Source organism: Homo sapiens, chromosome 9 (assembly GCF_000001405.40).
Source record: "Homo sapiens chromosome 9, GRCh38.p14 Primary Assembly".
Lineage (NCBI taxonomy): Eukaryota > Metazoa > Chordata > Mammalia > Primates > Hominidae > Homo > Homo sapiens.
In genome coordinates this window covers 89,434,252-89,460,033 of record NC_000009.12, presented here as the reverse complement: position 1 = coordinate 89,460,033, position 25,782 = coordinate 89,434,252, and the positions used below count along the sequence as shown (strand labels likewise).

At 53.1% G+C, this 25,782-nt stretch overlaps 1 protein-coding gene and 1 pseudogene across 54 annotated transcripts in view, besides 11 other annotated features; one reads left to right on the top strand and one right to left on the bottom strand.

Annotated features, from left to right (window-relative positions):
• The window catches only part of SEMA4D (semaphorin 4D), a 137,327-nt gene that overhangs the window by 38,080 nt on the left and 73,465 nt on the right, over nt 1-25,782 (top strand). For 43 of the 54 annotated variants that reach the window (NR_163886.1, NR_163889.1, NR_163884.1 and 40 more), the window contains one exon: nt 4,081-4,146. The gene's annotated coding sequence lies outside the window, so the exon portion shown is untranslated. Of the gene's footprint in view, nt 1-4,080; nt 4,147-14,753; nt 16,623-16,964; nt 18,797-23,570; nt 23,713-25,782 lie in introns of those variants that run through there. The other 11 variants (XM_047422628.1, XM_047422622.1, XM_047422626.1 and 8 more) reach the window with 3 other exon arrangements.
• On the bottom strand, nt 8,270-10,597 carry PA2G4P6 (proliferation-associated 2G4 pseudogene 6; annotated as a pseudogene).
• Nucleotides 10,056-10,904: an enhancer, noted in NCBI's record as "H3K27ac-H3K4me1 hESC enhancer chr9:92064045-92064893 (GRCh37/hg19 assembly coordinates)". NCBI's record gives its function as "activates a minimal SCP1, AML or CMV promoter by ChIP-STARR-seq in primed H9 embryonic stem cells {active_cell/tissue: H9 hESC(primed)}" and the evidence as "EXISTENCE:reporter gene assay evidence [ECO:0000049][PMID:30033119]".
• Nucleotides 12,611-13,221: an enhancer, noted in NCBI's record as "H3K27ac-H3K4me1 hESC enhancer chr9:92061728-92062338 (GRCh37/hg19 assembly coordinates)". NCBI's record gives its function as "activates a minimal SCP1, AML or CMV promoter by ChIP-STARR-seq in naive H9 embryonic stem cells {active_cell/tissue: H9 hESC(naive)}" and the evidence as "EXISTENCE:reporter gene assay evidence [ECO:0000049][PMID:30033119]".
• Nucleotides 14,210-14,379: an enhancer, noted in NCBI's record as "experimental_108605 CRE fragment used in MPRA reporter constructs". NCBI's record gives its function as "activates a minimal promoter by MPRAs in K562 erythroleukemia cells, with activity observed for both the introgressed and non-introgressed 9:92060655 variant alleles {active_cell/tissue: K562}" and the evidence as "EXISTENCE:reporter gene assay evidence [ECO:0000049][PMID:34662402]".
• Nucleotides 16,680-16,899: an enhancer, noted in NCBI's record as "active region_28544". NCBI's record gives its function as "activates an Ori minimal core promoter by ATAC-STARR-seq in GM12878 lymphoblastoid cells {active_cell/tissue: GM12878}" and the evidence as "EXISTENCE:reporter gene assay evidence [ECO:0000049][PMID:35858748]".
• Nucleotides 16,680-17,332: a biological region, named in NCBI's record as "H3K4me1 hESC enhancer GRCh37_chr9:92057617-92058192".
• Nucleotides 16,757-17,332: an enhancer, noted in NCBI's record as "H3K4me1 hESC enhancer chr9:92057617-92058192 (GRCh37/hg19 assembly coordinates)". NCBI's record gives its function as "activates a minimal SCP1, AML or CMV promoter by ChIP-STARR-seq in primed H9 embryonic stem cells {active_cell/tissue: H9 hESC(primed)}" and the evidence as "EXISTENCE:reporter gene assay evidence [ECO:0000049][PMID:30033119]".
• Nucleotides 19,643-20,220: an enhancer, noted in NCBI's record as "H3K27ac-H3K4me1 hESC enhancer chr9:92054729-92055306 (GRCh37/hg19 assembly coordinates)". NCBI's record gives its function as "activates a minimal SCP1, AML or CMV promoter by ChIP-STARR-seq in primed H9 embryonic stem cells {active_cell/tissue: H9 hESC(primed)}" and the evidence as "EXISTENCE:reporter gene assay evidence [ECO:0000049][PMID:30033119]".
• Nucleotides 22,639-23,420: an enhancer, noted in NCBI's record as "NANOG-H3K27ac-H3K4me1 hESC enhancer chr9:92051529-92052310 (GRCh37/hg19 assembly coordinates)". NCBI's record gives its function as "activates a minimal SCP1, AML or CMV promoter by ChIP-STARR-seq in naive H9 embryonic stem cells {active_cell/tissue: H9 hESC(naive)}" and the evidence as "EXISTENCE:reporter gene assay evidence [ECO:0000049][PMID:30033119]".
• Nucleotides 23,421-24,202: an enhancer, noted in NCBI's record as "NANOG-H3K27ac-H3K4me1 hESC enhancer chr9:92050747-92051528 (GRCh37/hg19 assembly coordinates)". NCBI's record gives its function as "activates a minimal SCP1, AML or CMV promoter by ChIP-STARR-seq in naive H9 embryonic stem cells {active_cell/tissue: H9 hESC(naive)}" and the evidence as "EXISTENCE:reporter gene assay evidence [ECO:0000049][PMID:30033119]".
• Nucleotides 24,203-24,984: an enhancer, noted in NCBI's record as "OCT4-NANOG-H3K27ac-H3K4me1 hESC enhancer chr9:92049965-92050746 (GRCh37/hg19 assembly coordinates)". NCBI's record gives its function as "activates a minimal SCP1, AML or CMV promoter by ChIP-STARR-seq in primed H9 embryonic stem cells {active_cell/tissue: H9 hESC(primed)}" and the evidence as "EXISTENCE:reporter gene assay evidence [ECO:0000049][PMID:30033119]".
• Nucleotides 24,985-25,766: an enhancer, noted in NCBI's record as "H3K27ac-H3K4me1 hESC enhancer chr9:92049183-92049964 (GRCh37/hg19 assembly coordinates)". NCBI's record gives its function as "activates a minimal SCP1, AML or CMV promoter by ChIP-STARR-seq in primed H9 embryonic stem cells {active_cell/tissue: H9 hESC(primed)}" and the evidence as "EXISTENCE:reporter gene assay evidence [ECO:0000049][PMID:30033119]".

The following is a 25,782-nucleotide window of genomic DNA, read 5'->3' as shown; positions in this document are numbered from 1 at the left end:
GCATCGTGAGCCTTAGCTCAGTCCTGTGGGGAAGGGGCTTTTTTTGTAGCAGTTGTTTCTGGAACGCAGAGGGCAGGGGATTTCTTACCTCCTGCTGTTTTCTAGGAGCACTTGACATTGTTGCAGTTGTCACCCAGAGTTTTACACAGAATAGGGTGTGTTATTTAGTAACTGAATGCTGGCCTGGGCTCCCTCGTGTTAGCCACATGGGCCCTCAAATCTTAGCCTGGGTCTTGTGGCGTGTGGGCCTTTCTGACCAGCTGAGGACCTTGGTCCCTGCTTCTAGGTAGGTGGCATTTGAGCCAGGTGGAGACAGGAAGGAAGGTGCCTGCCACACACAGGGGCAGCCCCCAAGGCTTGCAGGGAGGATGAGGGTCAGCCCCCTTTGGGACCCAGGGCTGAGCAGGGACAGCTGCAGGGAAGAGGCTCTGGGTCTGCAGGGGGATTCTCATCTCTCCAGGAGGATAAGACCCTCAGGAATGTTAATAAGACTCCCCCCCAACACCCTTGTAGGCTGTTTCTCACATTGACATGCTCTTGCCTTATCAGTATCTCACTCCCTGAAATGACTTTCTCCAGTTGTTTCTTTGCGTCCTCAGGAGAGCCAGGGACTTTTGATGCAGCTTGGCACACAAAAGAAGCAAAAAGCATTCACTGACGGAATGAATGAGCCACATCCAAACCCTGACTCCCTTAAGCTGCCCCAGGGACTAGAGGCTGTTCACTGGAACTACAGCAACATCACCTGAGGGCCCATTAGAAATGCATGTTCTTGGACCCCCCCAGAGCACTACCGGACTGGGGCTCCAACTGGGGCCCAGAGATCTGGCATTCAGATCCTTGCCAGGGGTTCTGCTGCAGGCCGCAGTATGAGAACCACTGACCACAGGCACATGGGGTCTCTAGGAGGCTGCGATGGCTCAGAACCTGCCTCTGAGCTGCTGAGGAGGAAGGAGGTGATTCTTTCCCCAGCGTGTGAGTGGGTGGGAATGCTGGGCTGCAGCTCCCTTGGGGAGAGGATAAGGACCATGCACAGTGTGTGTATGAGTATGCATATGTGTGTAGGCACATGTGTGTAGGTAGATGTGTATATGAGTACATGTGGGTGTGTGCAGTATATCTGTATATGAGTGTGCGTATAGGTACATATGTTTGTGCATGTGTTTGTGTGTATGTGTATCCATGTGGGCATATGTATCCGTGTGTGTATGAGTGTGTGTTTAGGTGTATAAGTGTGTATGTGAATATGGCATGCATGTTTGTATGTGCATATATGTATATGTGTGTGTGTGCATGAGTGTGTATGGATGTGCGTGTTTGGATGTATATATGTGCATGTGTATGTATGTGTGTCTCTGTAGGTTTGTGTGTGATTTTGTATGTGAATATACATGTGTGCTTACATGGGTATGTGGGTGTGGTGTACCTGTGTGCATAGGTGTATACGTGTGTGCATGTAAGTGTGGGTGGGTGTGTGTCTGCTTGGATGGGTGTGTGCATGTATGCATGCATGTGATGCATGTTTGTGGCATGTGTGTGGCATGTGTGTGGCAGGCAGTCTTTTAGGTGGGCCCAGGAAGGGAACTGTGTGACCAGCCATGGGTTGGCCTTCCGTAGGATGTATGCACCATGTGGAATTTGTAGTTTCCACTAAAGAAAAGGGGCGGTGCTATGTGGGCAACTGTGGTATGTATCGGTTGCAGTGTGCAGGGTAAAAACAGCCCTAATACGGAAGCTCAGAAATGCAGGGACCAAGTTGCCTTCGGATCCCCAGGCCACTCCACAGCACGAAAAACCTGTTACTACTCTCTGGACTGTCCTCCCAAAAGCCTGTGTTTCCTGCGCAGCCACTCACATGCATACGTAAGGCCACCGTGGAGTGGTGGGCTTGCCCTGGCTCCCCTCCACAGCCTGCCTTTTTATTCTGTCTTGGGCAGTTCCCTTTCCACACAAGGTCACCTCCTCAGGGTTTGTTTTTTGTTGTTTGTTGTTTGTTTGTTTGAGACCCAGTCTCGCTCTATCGACCAGGCTGGAGTGCAGTGGCACGATCTTGGCTCACTGCAACCTCCGGCTCCTGGGTTCTAGTGATTCTCCTGTCTCAGCCTCCCAAGTAGCTGGGACTACAGGCGTGTACCACCATGCCTGGCTAATTTTTTGTATTTTTAGTAGAGATGGGGTTTCACCGTGTTAGCTAGGATGGTCTCGATCTCCTAACTAGTGATCCACCCACCTTCGGCCTCCCAAAGGGCTGGGATTACAGGCATGAGCCACCGTGCCTGGCCTGTTTTTTGTTTATTTGCTTTTTTGAGACAGGGCCTCACTCTGATGCACAGGCTGGAGTGCAGTGGCACAGTCATAGCTCACTGCTTGACAACCTGGGCTCAAGCAATCCTCCCACCTCAGCTTCTCGAGTAGCCGGGACTACAGGCATGTGTCACCATGCCTGGCTAACTTTGTTTTGTAGAGATGGGGTCTCACTGTGTTGTCCAGGCTGGTCTTGAACTTCTGGGCCCAAGCGATCCTCCCATGTCGGCCTCCCAAAGTGCTGGGATTACAGGCGTGAACCACTGTGCCCAGCTGACCTCCTTGTTCTTTGTGATGGGTGCATACACTTCAGTGTTTGGATAGACCATTTATTTGATTCTGGTCAGCCACTGATGGACTTGGAAGGTTTCCATGGCTTTGCTACGATGCAGGAAGCACCCTCATGGTGTAGCTTTGTGTCCAATTGGAATGTGATTCAGCAGCATCCCGAGCGTCACAGTCAGGTGCACTGGGTCTGCTCCCCACCTGTCAGGCGCTGGTTTCCCCACCCCATCACAGGCTCTGGTTGCTCCACCCCATCACAGGCTCTGGTTGCTCAGCTTTGTAGGTTACTGCTCATCAGAAAGATGAAAGCGACCATCCTGCTTCAGTTTGTTTCTTTCATCGTTAATGACATCGAACAGCTTTTCCCTTCAGTTGCCATTTGCGGCTCTGTGCCTTGTGGGAGGGGACTTTGCGATGCTCACTCCCTGCTCCAGGAGGCCAGTGAGGAAGGAAGGAGCCCTTTGCATTTTCTCAGAGTGTTGATTCATGTTTCTCCTTAATGCAGGGGCATTAGTAAGCCTTCCGCTACTTCTGACATTATTTAAAAAAATCCCTCCCAGCTGGACGCGGTGGCTCATGCCTGTAATCCCAGCACTTAGGGCCAAGGCGGGCAGATCACTTTAGGTCAGGAGTTCAAGACCAGCCTGGTTAACATGGTGAAACCCCGTCTCTACTAAAAAAGATACAAAAATCAGCCGGGTGTGGTGGCATGTGCCTTTAAGCTCAGCTACTCAGGAGGCTGAGGCAGCGGCAGCAGAATTGCTTGAACCTGGGAGGTGGAGGTTACAGTGAGCTGAGATCGTGCCGCTGCGCTCCAGCCTGGAGACAGACTGTCTCAAAAAGAAAAACTCTCCCAAATTCTGGTTCCTGTTTGGATTCTTCTTTTCTTCTCTCTCTCTTCCTTGCCCTCCTTCTCCTCCCCTTCTTCTCCTGATTTTGGTTTTTGAGTATGTAATTAATTTTAAAACTTAAAAAGTGTTGGAATATTGAATGCTAGCACTGACATTGTCTTCATATGTGATTTTAAATTAGGGACTGTTTTGGAGCTTTGTACTACAGTGTCCTTCTTGACTACACCTTCATTGTGGGTCACAGGGTTTCTGGGTTAGGCCTTGGCCCACCCTGGCTGCCTCCTGCACTAGAGCTCACGCCTAGTGATTGTGTGCTGAGCCAAGGAGAGGCTCTCTGCTAAGTTGGTGCCTGGCCAGGAGCAGAGGGGAGGAGAGAGATGGGTAGGGTGAAGGAAGGTGCAGATGATGCCTCCCTCCCAGTTCTTGATAATCCTTGTCTGTTAGCTGTGATGCCTCCTCTGGTCTCACGTGGCCAGGTAAGCTGTATCCTGTAACTGACAGTTCTCTAGGACGATGCTCTTGCAGTCCCTGGGGGACATTTTTCGCACAGGGTTGGGGTATGGAATTGTGTGTATGTATATTGTAAGGGAATCTGGTAGTTTATCCTGCTAAAATGTGCCCTTTTCTAACTCTGTTTCAGACTCTGCTAACACCAGATAGTGGAAAGAAACCATGTGCTGAAATGTTTGACGACACTGATGGTTTGGTAAGTGTCGGCGTCTCGGCGTCTGCCTGAGAGCCATGGTTCCTTTTGGAACTGGCTTTTCAGAAGGTCTTGTCCCGGTGTTCCATTCCTCAGTCAGCAGCGATGCCCATTCACTGTGTGACCTGCCAGGCAGGTGTCTGGAAAGTGAGGGAGGAAGGCCTGTCTCTGAAAGCTCAGGTGGTTCTGCCTGGAGTGGTAAGGGTCGGTTTAGGGGATGTGGATATAGAGGAAGTCAGAGTGGGTGGGGCAGGGGAGGCAATGAGCGAGGCAATGCTGAGTGTGGCTTGTTTGGTGGTGAGCCCAGTACCCAGCCTCAGCACCAGCTTCCCCGGCAGGAAGGGAAGGGCCCCAGTTGAGGAGGTGCCCCTGCCTGGACTGTCCCCTGAGGACTGGTGCGCCTAGGAGTTCATATTGGGTTGTTGAAGGTGGTCTTTCACCCGACCCTAGGGGTCTTCGGGATCTGGTGGGCAGTTGCTTCTCTTCTGTCCACTAACTCACACCCCCCATGCCCCGTGTTCAGGGAGGTCTGGCAAAGGCAGTGGCTTGGGCTGGGGTGAGGTGGACCGGGGACAGCCCCCTGGGCTGCCACACCTTTGCTCCCACCCCTGCCTTTCAAGTGTGCAGAGTGGACGAAGGGGCTGCTTGTTGTCTGAAATTTCAGAGCATCAGGCCACACGGGCCCTGTCACAGACAGCATGTGGGTGCGAGTCCGCATGTCATGGCAGCCCCAAAGGGCACTGGGCCCTCCCTGTCATGGATGAGGCCATGGAGGCACAGCGTGATGAAGTGATATTGTTGTAGGCTATGACCCAGGCTACCCGTTTTCTCTGGCCCTGTCCCCACCCCCTCCCAACTGTTGGGATCGGGCTGCCTGCCCTGCAGGGCTGCTGGGCCATGGGCTGGCCCGTCACTTCATGGGTTCAGTTTCCTTCTCTGTAAATGTGAAGAGGCAGAGCCACCCGGGGCAGCTTCCTCGAGGGGCGGGGCTTCCTCACCCGTGCTAGGCACACGCCTGGGCAGAGTCCTGTGCCAGGGCCCCACTGGGTCAGCTGGGGGCTGGGAGTGCTGTGGCATGGCTGTGTCTCTTCGCCACCCCGAGGGTGGCCTGGGCTGGCATGGGACATGTCCTTGTGCTGTGCAGGATTGTAGGCTCTGGGGGACTCACCCTGTGCAGAATGCTGCCCTCACACCCTGCCGTCACCGTGGGACACCCACTGCGGTTTGACACTCTCACTGGGTGTGGGAAGTGCCCTCGGTAGCCCCAGGAGGGACCGTCTTCGGCCAGCAGCCACCTATGCAGGTCTCTCGTTTCCGGCTTGTTTACGTGCTTGGATGGAACCAGAAGAGAAGAGGTCATCAGAAGAAGCTGCTCTGTTTGATTTGGTGGAGGGCCCACCTGTCCAAGGCCCCCAAGGTCCACTCCTGCTAGATCTGGTGTGGAAATAGAGGAGGGAGTGAAAATCTGGGGGGGGCTGACCATGTCAGCCACACCAAGCTAGGGGAGCCTCAGCCACGTCCACACCACCTTCTGTGGCCACTCCTGGAGACATGGATTAAAGGTTGATGCAGGTGTGTCTGTGTTAGAAGGCGTTTCAAGATGTGACTTTAGCTGTAAGAGGCAGGATATGTAAGTCCTTGCATCCCCTTTAGAAAGCCGGGTTGTGACTCCTACTGCCTCAGGGGTGCCTTGGCCCTCCTGGTCTTGCCCAGGCTGGGATCTTCCTGGATGCAGCTTTCACATCATAGATAGTCTGCATACACAAGACCATTTGCAAAGGACATACTGAAGATTAAGTCATATATTCTATCGAGACCATCCTGGCTAACGTGGTGAAACCCTGTCTCTACTAAAAATACAAAAAATTAGCCAGGCGTGGTGGCGGGCGCCTGTAGTCCCAGCTACTCAGGAGGCTGAGGCAGGAGAATGGCGTGAACCCGGGAGGCTGAGCTTGCAGTGAGCCAAGATCGCGCCACTGCACTCCAGCCTGGGCGACAGAGCAAGACTCCATCTCAAAAAAAAAAAAAAAAAAGACATATATTCTACAACTTGGGTTGAAGTAGAAGCAAAAATAACTTTTAAGGGACTTTTCCCAGCGTGAAGTGGCCCATATAAGGTGCTTTGCCAGCCTTTGTGTGGGGACAAAGCAGGCATTGTGGTTCCCGGTGCCACTGTGGGCCAGGCCCTGTGATGCTGAGTCCTGGAGACAGCACGGCCACCACAGGAACCTGACCGTCAGGGCTGTGTGTCCACCCAGCGAGGGCCGCGACCAGATGGTTCTGGGAGGCCTGGCTTAGATTGGTCTGGGGTACTGGGGTCTCTACTGCAGGCCTGTTGGACGTGGCTGGAAACACGGCCTGGGGGCCATCGCCTTCCAGCAGCTTCCCCTAGAAGCATAGGATAAGACAGGCAGCAAAGGGCTCTGCGTCCTCAGAGAAAGGAGCACAGGTTGGCTTGGACATCTGTCTGGGGGAGCCAGAGAGCCACAGGATACAATGCTGTGTCTTGCGTGTGATTTCTTAGACCCAAACTCTTACACTTGCATGTGCTTATGGGGAGTTGAGTGCAGAAAGTGAATTCCTTTGAGTTTGGTGGTTGTTTTGATACCGCCTGCATTTAAGCTCTTCCTTCTTAATTTACAACAACCCTGTAGTCTTTATAAAGTGCACTGTGTGGGTGCTGCCCAGCCTCCCTAGGGTCTGAGTGTGCCCCACTGCTTGGAGGCAGGGCTGCTTCACCTGCACTGGGATGGAGCCCTGTTCATAGGAGCTGGGCTTTATTTTTAGCAGATACAGTTCCACGTCTCACAGAGTTGAGAGCAGGAAGACTGTAGATTTAATTAAATGACACTGAAAGGGGAGGTAATTACTTCTGCATGTTTCAGGAGGCCCAGGAGGGTGTCCCAGGTCCTCTGCTGCAGCCCTGTGAGGCTGTTACCTGGAAAACACCCAAGATCCCATCCCTGATGGGCACTCAGGGTCCTGTGCATTACTCTGACTAATGATGAACAATGTGAGCTTTCCTCTCTGAAGCCTGGCTTTGGAGATAAGCCATGCAGTCTAGAGACAGTGCAGCAGGTCACTTCAGAGGAAGCATGGTCAAGCCGTGCATCCCAAAGCTGCTTTAACAGGACGGGACACCTGGCGTGGTGGCTCACGCATATAATCCCAGCACTTTGGGAGGCCGAGGTGGGTAGATCATCTGAGGTGGGGAGTTCAAGACCAATGTGGCCAAATTGGTGAAACCCCCATCTCTACTCAAAATACAAAAATTAGCCGGGCGTGGTGGCTCATGCCTGTAATCCCAGCCACTCTGGAGGCTGAGATAGGAGAATCGCTTGAAGCCAGGAGGCGGAGGTTGCAGTGAGCTGAGATCGCACCATTGCACTCCAGCCTAGGCGACAGAGTGAAAAGGCTGGGTGCGGTGGCTCACACCTGTAATCCCAGCACTTTGGGAGGCCGGGGCTGGCGGATCACGAGGTCAGGAGATTGAGACCATCCTGGCTAACACGGTGAAACCTCGTCTCTACTAAAAATACAAAAAATTAGCCGGGCATTGTGGTGGGCGCCTATAGTCCCAGCTGCTTGGGAGGCTGAGGCAGGAGAATGGCGTGAACCTGGGAGGCAGAGCTTGCAGTGAGCCGAGATTGCGCCACTGCACTCCAGCCTGGGTGACAGAGCGAGACTCCATCTCAAAAAAAAAAAAAACAAAAAAAACCAAGACAGGACATAGAGGGTACTAGCACCATCCAGCTGCCTCTGGCACACAGGAGGGGCCGGTGGCCAAGGGTTCATTTATAGTAACCAGAAGCTTCCACACCCTCAACACACTCAGATCCATAGCACCTCCTCCTATCAGTGGCTGTGTCGGTGGTACTGCCTCCTTATGCCTCATAGGATCCCTGCTTAGTATCCTAGCTGGACACCACACCTGATACAGAGCACCAGAAGTGTGCTGATCAGAGCCGAGATGCCTTGAGCAGTTACAAAGAGTTTGCCCACAGAAGGCAAGATGCACTACCTTGTTCATGACCTGCGTGCATGACATGCAGAAGGATTGTATTTTGGATGTGTATTGGGTTAGATAAAATATATTACTAAAGCAAACTTAGTCTTTTTTTTTTAAATGAGCAAATCCAAATTTATTTTAATGTCATTTCATTTTCAATGTGTTTAAAAACCTCATAAGTTAGTGGGAGCCCTAGTTTCCTGGGACAGCATGCCGGAGGTACTGAAATTTGTCACCTTTCTCTACAAAGTCCCAGCAATCCAATCCAAATCCATAGCTTCAGAAAGCCAGGAGTTTTATCTTCAGTCAGTCTACTCCTCTGGTTCTTCGTTTTTCTTTCAAGGGAGGGAGATCACAATATTTCAAACAGGGAACAAATCCAGTTGAGCTTCCAGCTCAGGTTTGTGTAAGATGGAGTGAGGGAAGACCCCATTGACTCCAGAGAAAAGGGTAAGGTTGAGATGGATTATTTCTTTATAGCTTTGTGAAAATGGAAGAAAAAAGATTGACAAATGAGGATCCATTTCATAGATGGGAATTGCTTCATAAGTGAAGGCTCCAGCTCCTAAAATGGGAGGGGCCTGACTGACAGCCTGAATCAGATGAGGAGTCGGCCACACCGAATAAAAACTATCTGAAAAATAATCCTCCTAATTTTGAAGCCAGATAAAATACTTGGGGAGAATGGAAAAAGAAGAAAAAGCCCCCAAATAGATGGAAAAATGCTAACATCAGAATGGTATAAAAAAATTCGGCTGAGTTTTCAGTGGTGGTGGCTAATTTAGCCCTGTTCTATCGTAGGGTTACAAACCTTGACCAAGCAGAGAGTAGAAGAAAAGGCTAGGAAGAGGGGCTTGAAGACAATGAATTTTGACTCCTGATTTTATTATTTAATTTCTTTTGTTCAATTAAAGTCTTCTGTGGTTGGGAAGCCTCGCCTCCCAAGACCAGAGTCAGATGGAGCTGGTTGTTGTTGGAAGGGAGTGGGTTGCAAAACTGGGGTGGCGGCAGGGACACCCCCACTCTGCTGGCAGTCCTAGGTGGAGAAGAACTGCACTTCACAGAGTCTAGGGTGTGGTGGGAAGGGGATGAGGCAGGAGCAGCAAGCTGGGGAGATGGGACCCACCTTGGTCCCCAGCTTCATTTTCTTCTAATGTTTCCCCACTGGTGGCATTCTCTGCAGTCTTGGAGGCCTTTTTTTTTTTTTTTTTTTTTTTTTTTCCTGGGTTTTTCGACTTGCAGAACTCTGGAGGAGGGTCTTTAGCTCTGCATCCTGGACCTTCATCTCAGACTTATAGAGGTCAGGCTGGAAGGGACCACTGGTTATCTGCATGGGGCCATTGGGCAGGAGCAGAACTGTAAATTTAAACTGGGCAACAAATTCACCCTCCTTCTCATAGAGAACATTAAATGGTTGCAGCATTTCATGTTTGGCGCACTCCACCACACCCATCCAAGCCTTCTTCTCATCTTCACATGCTCTTGAAGTAAATGGCATGGCATCAAAACGCCTTTTCATGTCACTGAAGAAGGCATGTCAAGTTTTCATTTTCAGTCCATACTGTTTGGAGGGGTCTCATTTGTACATAGTGGTTCTCTCTCCTGCATCCTTGGTCTTGCCCTTTCCTGAGCTGATGAGAACATCCACAGCATATACTTCATGTACCTCAAATTCAGCTTTTTCATGGTCCTTCTTCTGCTTGTCTGTGGGAATCTGGGTAATGGTTTTTTCTCCATCGATGACATGCTGCTTCAGCTGGTGTGACAGCATACCTTCTATTGGCATGCAGTTAAATAAGTGGGCAACTTTGTTCCAGGCTTCTGTCACTTGTGTGTTCTGATTTCCAGGTGTGACCAGGCATGGGGCAGCTTCAGCACAACGGTGAGCTGCCTTAATAACATCTGCTTTCCTCCCTGTTACTTGGGTCCCCTGAGCTACATCAGTCAGAAAAGTACGAGCTACATTAGTGATGAAGCCATTCACATGGACCCCAAGGTCAATTTTTACCAAGTCACCTTCCTTGAGAATATAATCCTGGTCTCTCTTCAAAGGGGAGAAGTGACATACACAGTTATTTACCAAAATGCTGGTGGGAAAAGCAATACGTTTCTTCATCTCTTTTTCTTTCTTGAAGATTTTCCCTGTTTCTTGCATAATCACGGCATCACCTTTCTCACACAGGCTCAGTACTGACACACCTGAGCTAGATGCGTCCACCAAGGACCGAAGTACCCCATTGGCAATGTCACCCCCCCATCTTATAGTTGGTCACGACCAGGTCCTCGGCGATAGTTTGCTCCTGCTGCTCGTCTTTGCCTGACATCTTCCTGCCACCACCACTGCAGCCTCGTTTCCCCTGAGCCGCCCCTCTGCCTCCCTTCCCAGCCACAGGCTGTGGTCAGAGCTCCCTCGATCCTCGAGGAGAGGGCCAGCGAAAGCCGCGAACTTAGTCTTTTAGCGTGACTTCTAAGAGCATCTGAAATTATACCTGTGGCTCGCCTGGTAGGTGTAGGATCTAAACTGCTCTTTGGTGCCCTTGGATTTGACTTCCTCTCCTGCTCAGGCCCCGCCTCTGTAGTTGGGAGCTAGTGACTTGTAACAACCGTATCAGGCTTTGAGAGTGTTTTTAGCCAGCTTTAAGTGCTATTATTTTGCATTTTTGCAGACAATTACAAAATAGCCTGCTGGGCCTTAGCAAATAGCCAGGTTTCACCACTGAGATTGTACATCTGCCGGGCTCCCGGGCCTGTGCTTTCAGTGAGCATACCCCTCCCCAAAAGGCCCCGTGCTATCCGGGCTTGTGTCTCCCTTGTTTTCTGTGGGTAAGACTTACACAGTGTATTTGCCACTGATTTTCCATGTCCCAGCTGTACCCTGAATGCATCAATGGGCGTGCTCAGCCTGCAGGTCAGTGATGGTTTGTGATGAGCCCCATCCTGCCTTCCCGTGGGAGGAGGGTCCCCACGTAACCCTTTCAGGCCCTGACCTTCACTTGCTTTGGCCACCCCTGGGGTCCCACTGAGGGGCTGCTATCTATGCAGCTGCAGGACACACGCTGGAGTCCTGGGAAAAGCCCCTCAGGCACTTCCACATCTGGCCGGGCTATTTATATCCCTCAAAATGGCCCATTTTTCTTTGCAGAGAGTGAACATGTGGGCAATGCTGTCATGCCCGCCAGTGAAGCCCGTGAAACAAGCCCTTTCATTGAATAGCTTTCTGGGTGCGTCTGACACATTCTCATCTATGTGCAGAGGCCTCGTGGTTTTACGCCTTCTCTGCTGCCGTTGTGTGGATCGCTGTTCCTCAGAGTGTAGGCGGGCTGTGGCCCCCACGGCAGCCTGTTCCTGGTGCTGGGGCAGCCCGGCTGGTCTGGGTAGGCATACCTTGCCTCCCTGTCTCTATCCCACATCGCCCAGGGGAGGGTGGGTCCTCCATGGCCTGTCATGCACAGTTCACTGAGCTCCTGCCCTGGGTCCCTTATGCCTGGGCAGTGGGGCATCAGCAGAGGAAATAGTATTTACTGTTGGGGTAGACAGACCCCAAAGGAGATCAATAGGTCAGGTATGACTGGAGTTACAAGGGGGAGAAATAAAGCGGAAAAAGATGCCAGGGGCAATGGCTTACTCTTGTAAATCCCAGCACTTTGATAGGCCGAGATGGGAGGATCACTTGAGGCCAGGAGTTTGAGACCAGCCTGGGCAACATAGTGAGACCCTCATCTCTATAAAAATATAGAAAATCAGCCAGGCATGGTGAAATGCACCTGTAGTCCCAGCTGCTCAGGAGGCTGAGGTGGGAGTGTGACTTAAGGCCAGGTATTCAAGGCTGCAGTGAGCTTGTACCCCAGCGTGGGTGACAGAGCAAGACCCTATGCAAATAAATACATAAAAATAAAATACAAATAAATAAATACATAAAGCAGAGAAGGAGATGAGACGGGTTCTACAAGGGGAGCTGGGCTGATTGATGGAGCCAAGGCTGGCGCCATGCCTGTGCCTGGGGAGGAGCACCGTATGCATGGGGAACAAAGGAGCAAAGGCCCTGAGACAGATAGGAGCAAGTCTTGGGTGTCCAGGGAGCACTGAAGTGGTGGTGGGGGGCAGTGGGCTGAGGCAGAGTCAGGAAGGGTAGGGGTAGGAGAGGAGGTGGTGGGTGGGGGAGTTTGAGGGGTTGGGGAAGACCCCTGGCTTCTGGGGAAAATGGGCCATTGTGGGGGTGTCGGGCACCCGGTTAGGCTGTGAGGTGGTCTGGGAGAGCGGTGCTGGTGTGGGCACGGTGCAGCAATGTCGATGAGGAGTGGCTCCCTTCAGCGCTTATTTGAAGGTGGACCCAGAGGACTTGCTGCCAGCTTGGATCTGGGGTGGGTCATGGTGGGGGTCGGGGAGCACAGAACACCCTGGATTTTGGCCTGAGCCATTGGAAAGACTTAGGCTCCAAGTGGGCTTCCACCTGGGCTGTCTCGGAGGCATCTCAGCTTTGGGGAGGTGAGGAGCGTGGTTTGGGGACACAGGAAGCTTGAGGTGCTTATTAGTGGGGAGGAGGCTGTGGGGTACCTAAGCCTGGAGTTGAGGAAACATCTGAGGACTAGCCCAAGGGTTAGTCCTGACTGGAGCCGGGGATATGGAGGTCTCCCAGGGCAGGCCCCCTCAGAATGCCCTTGCTCCTTTGCTGTCAGGTAGAGACATGTCTGAACCTGCTCCTGTTCCATGCTGGCCTGCAAGGGTCACAAGGAGAGACAAACTTTTGGGTGCCTCCATCGAGATTGGAAGGACCGATAGGCAGCGGGCGAGGGAGGGTCGGGGTTCGGACTGGCTGCTGGGCTGCGGTGGGAGAGATGGTCTGGGCCTGGGAGATGAGATGGACAGATCCACAAGGATAGGACACATGGCAGGATTTGGAAGGGAAGGCATCTGGAGAATTGAGGGTCTCCTCTTATCTCCTGCAGTCTTTGGGGGCAGCACCTATCCCACAGGGGCACGCCCAGCTGAGACTTCGAGTCCTCCGAGCTGGACACAGTGTGGGCAGGGAGCCCGCCTGAGGCCTGGGTGCAGCGTGGTGTGGGGAGTGGAAGGCACGTCCTGAGGGGAGTCACTGTCCTCCCCCGCCAGTGTGCCTGGCACATAACCCCCCTTTCATGCCTCAGTCTCCTCCTGCTGCTGCCTTGTTTTAGAAGGTGTGGCCACCAGGGTCCAGGATGGCCCACACCCCTGCTGAGGGGAAGTGGGAAGCGGCTGATCCTTTGTGCAGGGAGCCTCGGAGCCCTGGAGAAGTCCTGGGAGGCAGCCTCCCCTCTCTGCCCTCCTTGGTGGCCCGAGAGAGGCCCCGTGGTGCTTATCATGGAGACGGGATGGTGTTTCTTGTTTTCTTTAGCCCATGTTGGGCTGGGTGGGGTCATGGCCTTGGAGCAGGCCCTGTTCAGAGCCACTCAGTCAGTCTCAGGGTTTTTTTTGTTCTTTGGTTTTGCCCCTTGTGGTAGGCCAAATGATGGCCCCCGAAAATACCAGGTTCTAACCCTTGGAGCCTGAGAGGGTGACTTTATATAGAGTTAGAGTCTGCAGCTGGGACTAAGTTGAGGATCTTGAGGTGGGGAGATGATTCTGGACTATCTGGTGGGCCCCAAATGCACTCACAAGTGTTCTTCTCAGAGGCAGCAGAGGGAGATCGGGCACAGAGGGCACAGAGGCTAGAGTAGTGGTGGGTGTGGGGTGGATTTTATCTGCCAATTGGGCTGGGCCTCGGGTGCCCAGATAAGTGGTCAGGTGCTATTCTGGGTGTCTGTGTGGGTGTTCCTGGGTGAGGTTGACATGAGAATCGGTAGACTAAGGAAAGCTGTTGCCTGGGAAGCAGGATGGACAGACCTGCAGGGATAGAACACATGGCAGGGCCTGGAAGGGAGGGGGTCCGGGACATGAGGGTCTCGTCTCATCTCCTGCTGGGGGTGCAGTGCTTGTCCTGCATGGCACCTCCAGCTGAGCCTGCAGAGACCTCTGAGGTGGACGCAGAGGCTGGGAGCATGGGTAGGGAACCCGCCTGAGGCCTGGGTATGGCGTGCAAAGTAGAAGGTGGGGTAGGAGGTGGCCCTCCCCAGAGTGAGTTGGCCTCACCCAATCTGTCGAAGGCCTTAATAGAACAAAAAGACCCGGCTTCCCAAGTCAGAGGGGACTTCGGCTGTCTGACTGCCTGTGAATGGAAGCTTCACAGGGTCTCCAGCTTGTGGATGACAGATCCATAATCACGTGAGCCGAGCACATAATAAATCTCTCTCTCTCCCTGTGCACATCCTATTGGTTCTGCTTCTCTGGAGAACCCTGACTAACCAAAGAACCACAAAGCAAGGAACGCTGCTGCCACCAGAAACTGGAAGAGGCCAGGAAGGGAGTCTCCCCTGGGGCCTCCAGAGCGAGCATGGTCCTGCTGACACCCTGATTTTGGTCAGTGAAACTGATCTCAGAATTCTGTCCTGCAGAACTGTGAGGGAATACACTTCTGTTGTTGTAAGCCACCCAGTTTGTGGTCACTGGTGAGAGCTGCTGCCTGAAAACCATACAGGCAGTGTAAACAGTGCTTCCGTGAATACCCTGGCCATGCTCTGGAGCTGTCATTCAGTGCATGGGTTTCAGGGAGCAGCACTCACGGTCCAAAGAGCGTGTGTCTCTTCCTTGTAATAGATCTTGCAGGATCCGTTTCTGAAAAGATCCAACAGTTCATCCTTTCCCTGTGAGCACAGGGAGCTCCCTGTTCCAGCACCTTCTTTCGGCGGTGGCATGAAACACTATAAACTGACTTGTCAGTCTTCAAGGGCAGAGTGACAGCTTTGTGGCCTTGATGGTGTCACCCCAGATCCTGGTGAGTGTCGCATCCTTGTTGGATATTCTGTGGCCGTTTGGATCTTCTGTGAATCGCCTGTTGTGTGTTGTGACCCTGTTCTGTCGGGATGTTCAGCCCTCTTTTGCCAATCTGTAGGAGCTCTGGATTTGTTATAGATATTGATCTTCTTTCTTCTGCTTGGAAAACGTTTATTCCTAATTCTTTTCTTTGCCAGTTTCTTTTATTAATGTATCATTTGCTGTCCAGATTAACTCATTTTATGGTCGAATATGTCTCTTTTCTCTTAGGGCTCGTGGGTACCAGCGTTTGTTAAGAAGATTACATGGGTTGTCTGAGGATTTTCTGGCAGGAGTTTTCTTGTTTTGTGTGTTTGAATTAAACTCTTGAACGTGTCTAGAATGCTTTTAACATGAAATAATATGCTTGGGGTGGGGGAGGGCAATTTTGTTTCCTTCCAGTGTGCCAGCACTAATTAGTCAATAATCCGTCCTTTGACCAATGAATTGAATGACAGCTCTGTGGTCTGTTAGGGTCTCATGTAAACTGGGTTCCGTCTGGGGATCCTCCATCCCACTCGCTGGCCTGCTTGTCTCTTCACGTGCCCACATCCCGTCAGTAGCGGCTGCAGAGCAAGTGCTGATAGCTGGGAGGAGTCCCCTCATGTGCTGTGTGTGTGATGACGTGCTTTGTGAGCCGTGATGGCAGGAGTGCTCCTGTGTATGCCTGTATGTGTTTGCCTGTGTTTCTCCTTATGACTCCTGGGCAGAGCATGATAAGGGTGGGTACACTGTAGCTGTGCTAGAGGGGCAGCCAGGGAGGAGGCCATGGAGGTGGGGAGGGAGGCCAAGGTGAAGCAGGAAAACAGAGACCACCAGGTGGACGCAGAATTATGTCTATGGTAGGTAGGTATAATTTCTAAAAGGCAAGGTGTCTAGGACAATAAATGTAAAGCAGGTTTATTATGGGGGGAGCAGTGAAAAGAGAACCCTTCGTGTCAGGGACCCACCCACTGCTTGGATTTCCTTTGGGCATGAGTGCCCTGACTCTGCCCGTGGTGGGAGGATGCATGGGCATGCAGTGGGGTGACCGTGTCACTGCAGCTTAGGTGCCTGTGCCTGGCCCAGGGCTGCCTGACTCTGGGCCCCTGAGGATGCCCATGCCCAGGCACCTCTGGCAGCTGGCACCTCGCAGTCTCCAAATGCTCTCTGTGCCCCATCTTCTGTGGCACTGCTTTAGCAGGGCAGGCCACACCTATGCAGGGAGCCCAGGAGGTCAGGGCCTGCAGTTACCCACTGGTGACCCCAGCCCCACCCATGCTGTGGAGGGAGGGTAGAGAGTTTCAGGTGCCAGCCCATACAGGACTCACAGCCAGGACAGGAGGCAGCCAGGTCCTGGCCACCAGCTCGGAGGCAGGCATGGGGTGGGGTGCAGCTGAGCGCTGCAGGGCCAGGGCCGTCCGCCACCCGCCTACCCCAGGCAGATCCTCCTCTGGCGGCTGCTGCTGGCCGGACCTGCTTCCCGGGTGGCTATTATGGGCGGGTGGAGTCCACGCTGTGCTTTACTGGGAGGGCTCATTTTCTGTCAGACAGCTGAAGGCTCCACTCTGCAGGGACAACAGGACCGTGGTACACCCGCTTCGAGGTCAGTGAGAAGGTGGACAGGGCAGCCAGGCCCCGTGGGAAGGTGGCTGGAGACTGGGCCCATGGGCATCCTGGTGGCCCTGTTTAAGCTCCTTGTTCAGCCCACATATGGCTTGTGGCTGGAGTGTGTGTCCAGTTGAGCACTGGCATCCGTTCTTCTCCAGAGCACCTCGCGACCCGGCCTCTGTCCAGGGGGGTAGTGTGGGTGGTCATAATCCCGCCACTGACAGGGAAGTCTCACTCTTGAAGCTGTGGAGAAGTCCCTAGGGGACCTGATGGGGCTGGGCTCTGGACTGTGAGTCACCTCCTGGGGAGAAGAGCCGCCTTCCTCCTGGGAGGCTTCAGTCCCAGGTCAGGCAGAGGCTGTGCAGGCATGCTGTAGGGGTGCAGGGGGCCCTCCTGCTGCTGAGCACGGTCCTGGTGGGCATCCGAGGTTGCTCTAGCCCCAGTGAAGGCCCTTAAAAGTCTCACAGGCTGTGTGATGACAGGCTTGTCCCAGCCCAGGCCCGGGGCCCAGGTTTGCAGACGACACCGGCACATGCGTGAACCAGGGTCCCCAGCATTGACTCACATCTGCCCGGGTCTGGTGTTTCCTCGCTGGGAAATGGTGAGAAGGATGGGGAGGGCTGCAGCCATGCCAGACACTGTCTGGTGCTGATCCCTCTCTGGGACGGATGCAGTTATGAACCCCAGGAACCCTCCCCTCCCCTTGCATGTATCCTGACAGCTCAGGGTGAGTGGGTCTGATTCTTTGCTAGCTGTTGGGGCCTGTGGAAGTGAAACTCATTGTCTTTTCCATTTTTACCTTGAACTCTGTGTTTCTAGCAAGTAGAGGAAGAGGACCCCGGCCAGGCAGATGGTTTATTTTTATGCATGGTTTCAGATGGCGCCCACCCCTCCTCCCCTCCTTGCTGCTGACCATCTCACTCTTTTGACATGTTGCTGCTGCTGCATGGTTTTCTTACAATTTTTTCTATTCCACTGCATTTTAACTAATGAGGTCCGTATTCTTCCTGCAAAGCTGCCATGTTTAACAGAGGACTCTTGGAGCCTGGCAAGCTTGGAAAGAGCAGGTAGCTCCCTCCTCTTCTGACAGGCGGGCCAGTGGGGCTGGAGTGGGGGGCTCCAGCAGCCCCTACCACCCTCGTGGCAGCCGTGGTGCCCAGAGCCGACCCACTGAGCCCCTCCCAGTGCTTTGGCCAGTGACCTTGACCTGGGCCGTACGGCGCAGCAAACCATGTCTCTGGCCTGAAGATGTGTCCTGGGCCAGGGGAAAAGGGAAGGAAACAGCCCCAGCTCACTGGGTGCTGATGATGGGGAGGGGTGATCAGGAACATGCTGAACTCACCAGCCTGGCCATTGCTGGTCTACACATCCATGAACTGTGCAAGATTTCAGGCACGTTAAATAACAGAGCCTTACAGTCCAATGGGGAAGAGAAATGTGTAAACACAGCCATGGGGATGGGTGCCTGGTGAGGGACTGTCAAACATGGGCGTGGCCATGAGCCCCTCTTGCCAGCCTCTAGCCCTCTGTCCACACGGTGGGGCCTGGAGTTGCTGGACTTCCCTTTCACTTAGATCAGAAGCTGAAGTTTAACAGTGTGGGCTGGGATGGGAGTGTGGGAGGGGGGTTAGGGCCCAGGCAGGAAAGCTGGACGCAGAGTGGTTAGACAGGTATTGGGGCTGAAATGACAAAGAGGGTACTGAGGACACCCAGGGACAAAGCAGCCACAGCCTCCAGGCAGGTCCCAGGAGCCCTGAGGAGGAGCCATGGGGTGGTGGGGAATTGGTCCCCTCCCTGCCTGCTGCTTCCAGGCTGCCCTCACTTCCTTCCCATGGTCTGGGGCATTCTGATCCTGACACAGTGATGTGGGGGTGGCCCATGATGTGGGAATGGGGGCCTGGCCGGTACCGACATCTCCAGCCAGAGCTCAGGGTTGCCTCTGCCATCATCACCTCGGCCACATCCCCTTTCCTTCTGATCCCAGACACATTGGGCTCTGTCTTGCCTGCTGTTCTGTCTGCCTGGAAAGCTAATGTTGTTGGTGCCAAATTCCTGAAGAGTCCTCCCTGATGGCCCGTCCACCACGCGAAGCTGTGGAAATTGCCCGCTGCTGGGAGGAACAGTGCCGCCCGGCCGAGTCCTGCGCGTGTGTGGAAGCGGAGGCCAAGGGTTGGTATTCGTAAGGTCTGGGAGTTTGGTTTAAGGCAGATCTTTCAATGTGGGTGGCTGGTCTGATTTGGACTGGGACATGTTTACAATGTGTAATAAGACTTTAAGATCAGTGGACGCAGCAGAGGGCGTGAAGCCAGCCTGATGGTGGTTTGCTGAGGGAGCAGCTTGCCCAGGAGAGTGGCTTGTTGTTCTTAGAAGGACTCCCTGGGTGAGCAGGTCAAACAACTTTCAGGAGCTCTGATCAGTCAAGTTGCATGCTGTTTTGCCCTCTTGGGTGGAAATTTGCTGCAGTAGTCCAGTTAAAGTGTACTTGTGCATTTCTGACACCTCACCCTTCAGGTCCAACTTAGCCTCCTCACCAGGCCAGCTTGTCTCCTGTAGTTCTCTTGGCACCCTGTGTGTTCCTACTCAGGACTTGTCACAGTGTGTCATCACACACACGCAAGCACATGCTGTGGGACATTGATGTCTTGCCCACTGGAAGGGTTCCGTAGGGTGGAGTCAGCCCCACTTTGCTCTGCTGGCACTTAGCACGGCATGTGGCACGTAGCAAGTAGTTAGGAAATGTTTGCAGAGGAACATGAATAAGTCTTGCACGAGGTGCCGGGGAGCTCAGAGGAGGAAGCAGCCTCCTTTTTTTCCAGGAGACCAGGGGACGCTTTACCCAGAAGGGCCCTGCTGCTGTGGAGGGTGCAGCCTCCTTGGGGGCTGAGTGTGGAGGGCAAGCGGAGGGTAGGGCTCAGGGGCCAGGGTGATGGGTGCGGGTGGGAGGTGGATCAGACAGCATTGTGAGGGTAAAGGGTTGGGATTTTAAGCAAAAGGCAGCAAAGAGCTGTTGAAGGCTTTTTGGCAGAGGCATGTCAAGACCAGATTTGGAGTTTCGAGATACTCATGTAGCTATACCATGGGGGTGGGTGAAAGCGTGGGTGGGAGAAGGCACAGGGGCTGGAGAGGAATGGGAGGGAAGGCGTTGTGGTCACTGCTTCCTGGCAGGGGCGGGGAGGGAGCCTCAACTGGGTCTGTGGGGCAGAGGAGCCAGCACCACTCCAGGGCTCGTCCCGGGTGGGTGTGGATGGAGATGCCACAGCCTGCGTGGCTCCCAGGGTGAGGGTCAGGCTCACAGGGAGGACACCAGGCCTCTTATCGTGGCTCCATTCTCTGTGGACTGCCCTTGGTGGGACTAAGAGCAGGCAGGTCTCCATGTGTCCTGGACACGGCTCCTGACCCAGCACGTGTGTCCACTTTTGGGCTGTGGTGAGGGTGATTGAGGGGCAGTGTGCCAATGTAGAATGACTATATGGCATGTTTGTGGGCTAAAGTAAGTGAATGCTTAAATTGACACTAAGATGCGGTGAGCTTGATCGTGGGTCGGCCGGTTTCCATTCAGCTAAAATTCGTGAAGTGGGGGCATCACTGACTTTTTTTGTAAAGAGAAAATAACCTGTAAATAGGCTTTTAAAAATAGACACTTACTCTTGCTTTTTTTGTAAATCAGATTGACCTGTCAGTGCACTCTGGGGTCCGGCCAGCTGCGATGATCTTTAGACCAGTCAGCCGCCGGCTGAGCTGACACCTTTTAGATGGAAATGGAATAAATGCTGCACCACATTGTTCGTGTGGGTGGTGAATGCAGGTGTTTGAAACCATTAGCTTCTTTGCATAATTAAAAACCTTAATTTTTTGTGAAATCTTTAATCATAGAAGAAATGCTTCTTTCCAGTTTGAGTGTTTCTCTTAATATTACCATTGCTTTAAGACAATTACCTTCAGGGCTCATTACTTTCCTGGACAGTTTACAGGCCAGAGTGGTCTCCACTCAGCCACTAGATCTTAGAGGATTCTAAGAAACCCTATTCGTTAAGCCAGGTAACTCATATATTCTGAATCTATAAACATGTCTGAAAATTGTGAAACATACTGTAGAGTTTATAGAAGTTCTTAAAATACATACATTGTGCCGGGTACGGTGGCTCATGCCTGTAATCCCAGCACTTTGGGAAGCCAAGGTGGGCGGATCATGAGGTTAGGAGTTTGAGACCAGCCTGGCCAACATGGTGGAAACATGTCTCTAATAAAAATACAAAAATTAGCCGGGCGTAGTGGTGGGTGCCTGTAATCCCAGCTACTCAGGAGGCGGAGGCAGGAGGATCGCTGGAATCCGGGAGGCAGAGGTTGCAGTGAGCGGAGATCAAGCCATTGCATTCCAGCCTGGGCGATAGAGCGAGACTCCATGTTAAAAAAAAAAAAAAAAAAAAAAAAAAAAAAAAAAAGGCCCGGTGCGGTGGCTCACACCTATAATACCAGCACTTTGGGAGGCCGAGGCGGGTGGATCACGAGGTCAGGAGACTGAGACCATCCTGGCTAACACGGTGAAACCCCGTCTCTACTAAAAATACAAAAAATTAGCCGGGCGTGATGGTATGCGCCTGTAGTCCCAGCTACTCAGGAGACTGAGGCAGGAGAATGGCGTGAACCTGGGAGGCAGAGCTTGCAGTGAGCCGAGATTGCGCCACTGCATTCCAGCCTGGGCGACAGAGCGAGACTCCGTCTTAAAAAAAAAAGAAAAGAAAAAACATACATTGTATTTGATTCTAGTCAAAGAACATAAAGAATACTTCGATTTTTTGCCTCAAATATCCCTAACACTAGAAATGTTGTTTGTCTCAGGAACGACAGAATAAAGTGCTTCATAATGTGGGTTTGACTGGCATAGCTTTCAGCCCGTGATGTACTGGATTAATATTTTATCTAATTGCATGACCCCAGCTCTGTCGTGAGCAGGAGTTGCAGTCACCAGGCTCCCGCGGTGAATGTCGTCCTGCTCACCTTCTTGTTGCATTCTGTGATGCAGCCATCACGAGCTGCCATGGGAGGTGCTCCACCCTGAAAGCTCTCTCCAGGCCAGCCTGAGTGTGGCATCCACATGAGCACAAGTCCAGCACCAGCTGAGGCCCCCAGCCCTTCACTCTTCACCCTTCCTGGGTCTCCAGTTTCTCATCTCCAAACTTAAAACTTGCCTTCATGGCCACAAAAGGCTCCCAGGAGAGAAGCAGGGCGCTTGGCTTGAGTATTCTCTACAGTGCACCTTTGTTGCTTCCCTCTTCCCTCTTCCACACTCAGCCCCCAGGGAGGCTGCTCCCTCCACAGCATCTGGGTGCCCTACTGGGTAAAGTGTCCTCTGGTTCCTCTCTGCATCTTGCTGAGATGGCCCTGCCCTTCTATCCCTACCCCTGTAGGTTATTAGAAATCTTCCAGCGAGAAGGGCGCAGAGCCTGGTGCCAGATGGCACTGTGCATGTTAGCAGGTTGGATGGCTCATCCTTGGGACTGAGTTGCTCAATTTAAGGAATTTTAGACTTGGTATCTGGGTTCAAGCATGTCCCTGTCCTGGCTATGTCCCGAGCTGCGGACCAGGGCAGAGCACCACATCTTTTATACAGTGTCCCTGTCTTGTTCATCTCCGAGGCTCAGAGACCTCATTTGTGTGGCTGTCACCTGTGCCTGCTCAAGTCACGTTGCTACCTTCCTTTAGCACCTGGACACATCAGCCAGACCTCCCTCCCTGGGACCCCTTGACCAGAGGCAGCACCGGGAACCTGTGCCCCTTGCCGCTGGCACACATGGGCAGGTGCCCGTGTCACTGAGCCCAGTCATGCGCCAGGCCTGTGCCCTCCCCTCTCAGGGCGCACCGCAGCAGTGGGAGTGCCTGTCGCTGCCGCCTGCTAGGGTTGGTGCTGGGTGGGGGTGGGTGCAGAGGCTGGGATCTGGAGGCCACACCTGCAGTGTCAGAGACTCAGGGCGAGCTTCACACCTGCCCTGCTGCTTGTCCTGTGGTTGTTTGCTTATTCAAGACCAAGTGTGGGCGACCAAGATTGGGCAATACTCACTGCATCGCGCTTCCTTACAGGCTGAGGGCAGGTGCCTGCCGCTGTGGGAGGAAAACCTGGCCTGCAGAAAAATAAAAACTGCCAGAGCTGCACGAGCCACACTTCATTGCACTGTGCAATGCCCACTAGGATCAGGCCACTCATGGGGGTGGGCATGCTGGCCCGCAGAGCAGCCAGGGCCCTGCAGCCCCTAACAAAAGAGGCCACGTGCTTCCTGTTTTAGGGTCGTCTGCCCAGCTGGGAGCAGGCCATCTCGCTGCAGCACTGTCCAGCAGCTCTGTGCATGCTCACCTCCCAAGTTTGCCCTCATTGCTACCTCTTGACTGAGCTGTCTTCGTGATTCCTGAGTCCAAGGCTGGACATGAGAGCTCAGAGGGCCAGAGTGACTTGCCCAGGGCTACATCTGCTTCCTCGGGACTTCACCTCTAGCCCCATTGTCCCGTGGCCTTAGGCAGCTCACCCATCCTGCCATGGAGCCCCCAGATGACTGAAGTAGTGGCCAGGCCTGCAGGGTCCTCAGGCACCCAGGAGCTTGCCCTCGCCAGGCGACCTGCTGCTCCATGGGTGGACAATGGTGTGCATGGCTTGGGTGCTGGGCCGCAACCCCCCACACCCTCCTCTAAGGCAGCCTTTCTCCTCCTTCCTCAGCCTTGGGACTGGGCCCTGCCCCACGAGCCCCTGAATTAGCCCACACAGGAAAACAATCAGGCCCACATCGCTGAACAGCCCCGCTGTTTAAAAGGAAGAGAATGGGACAGGGTTGTTCCACAGCCTGCGGAGAAGGCTCACCACGGGACCTTGTCCCTGCGCTGAAGGGTGCCTTGTTGTGGCTGGAGCAGTCCTGGCCTGAGCCCCAACTAATAACAGAGCCCTTGAAACCCCTGCAGTCAGGACAGACGTCCCAGGCGAGCAGAGGCCCTGCGTGAGGATGGGGCGGCGGGGCCAGATGGTGTCCTGAGTATCCATCCTCCCTGGTGGCTGAGGACACGCTGACCAGCGTGGGGTCAGGAGCATGGCCCCTGGAAAGGTGAGGCCAGCTGGGCAGGGTCAGGGGCTTGGGTTTTCTTTGTCATTTGGTAAATGGTCTTGTGTTCCCATTTCTCACCCCTCACTGGGGTTGAGTGAGAATGAGCTGAGTAAGTGGGCTTCCTTCTAATGTGAGGGGACCAAATGACCAGCTGCCCTTCTGGACAACCAGAGGAAAAACACACTTGAGTGGACCTTACAGGCTTCACTCCAGAGCTTTGCACTTCTGTGCTTTGAAGACAACAGAAGTGCAGGATGTTGTCTGAGATGTCCGTCATTCTGTAGCTGGCCAGAGAGCAGCCAAGGCTGAGGCTGTGATTTGGGGGTGGGGGGCAGCGGGGGCGCTTCCTTGGCCTAGGCTATCCCTGCTTTCTCTTACTGGGCAGCCAATTCAGCATGCATTGGGATGCGGCACAGCAGATATGGACACTGGGCAGTGTTCATGCCCTTCCTTTATTTAAGTTTCATTTATCTCGAAGTTTCTCTGTTTTGCACAGCCTTTGTAAGGAAAGGCCGGACATGCAACCTGTGGGCGTGGCCCTGGGAGGGGTGCACCCAGACCAGGTTGTCCAGGAGCAGGCAGCAGGCTGGTCGGGGCCGGGTGGGGCGTAGGTGGAGCCTGTAGGACTTGCTCTGCATAAAGCCGTGGGTGTGGCTGATGTTCAGGATCTTTGCTGACACAGAGACCTGGGTGGCCTTGTTTGTCCCTGGGTTCTGTAAATCAAAGTACATGCCCGGCACTGTGTCTAGTATGGTCCAGGTGTGTGAAAGTCAGAGAGCCCTGGGAGTCTGCCATCTCTGTGAGTTGGGGAAAGGAGGAGGGGCCAGAAACAAACCAGAAACTCCACAGCTCTTGCTTAGGAGCCTAAAGGAAAGAAACAGGGCAAAGCAGCCAGAAGGCTGGGAACTGGAGGGCCAGTCCTCGGACTAGAATTTACATAGGAATGGGGGCTGTGAATGGGGATGCTTGTAATCCTTCCAGAATTGGGGTAAAATTTGCATCTGAATGGCTCATCAAGTCAAGATTCCCATGGAATGTACTGGTTTTCTGGTTATTTTCCAGGTCCTGTTAATGATCATTTGCATGTTTACTCAACCAGCATTCTTAAAATTAATATTACCTTATGACTGCCTTTATCATGACTCTCTTAGTGGGGATTTCTGTCCTCCACATGCCCTGGGGGATGTGCAGCCCCCGTGCACTCCCCGCCTTGGCCGGCCCCTTCCCCCATGCCCAGGTAGACTCTGAGCTCTTAGACCAGCAACTCAGCCCTCAGATGTGTTTGGTTGGGACTTCCCAGTATTAAAAATATATGGATTAATTATGTTGCAGCATTCAAAGGCTTCACCTAAAAATTCAGGTTTTTTTCTTTCAGGAGAAAAAAATCAAGAACTATTGCCCACACTAGGCCATGTTGTAGAAGGCTGGGAGGTGCAGTGGCCCCTTTAGACAGGGCCTGGCCCAGCTGCCCTGCCTCCCCTCTACATTCCCTGACAGGGCCCTGGAGACTTCACTCAAAGGTCCATGGCTGCACATGCCAGGGGTCTGCAGGAGGATGAATGATGCCCTAGTACCTTGGGGCATCCCTCATCCCTGGAACCTGTGAATGTTTCCTTACATGGTAAAGAGATTTTGCAGATAGGATTCACTTAAGAACCTTGAGATAGGAAAATTCTCCTGGATTTTCCAGGGTGATCCCTAAATGTAATCACAGAGTTTTCTTATGAGAGAGGCAGGAGGGCAGAGAGGAGAGAAGGTGCTACGCTGGTGGTGGAGGGAAGAAAAACTTTCACTCTACTCTCTTAGATGCTGTTTCTAGGGCCTGCGAATTAAACTGACGAAAGACAGTAACAGGAGAAAAGACAGACTAACATTTTTACATACATGAAGCTTCATGAAAGAAAGTGAAAACCCAAAGAAGCAATAGATTTGAGGGCCTGCATACCGTTTTGACAAAGGTCTCAGTGGAGATTGAGAAGGCGCCCAACGCCATTGTTCTGTCTTCCCTTCTAGAGGTTTCTAGGGTCCTGGCTGGCTCCTAGACCGAGACCCCTCCCTCCTCTACCTACA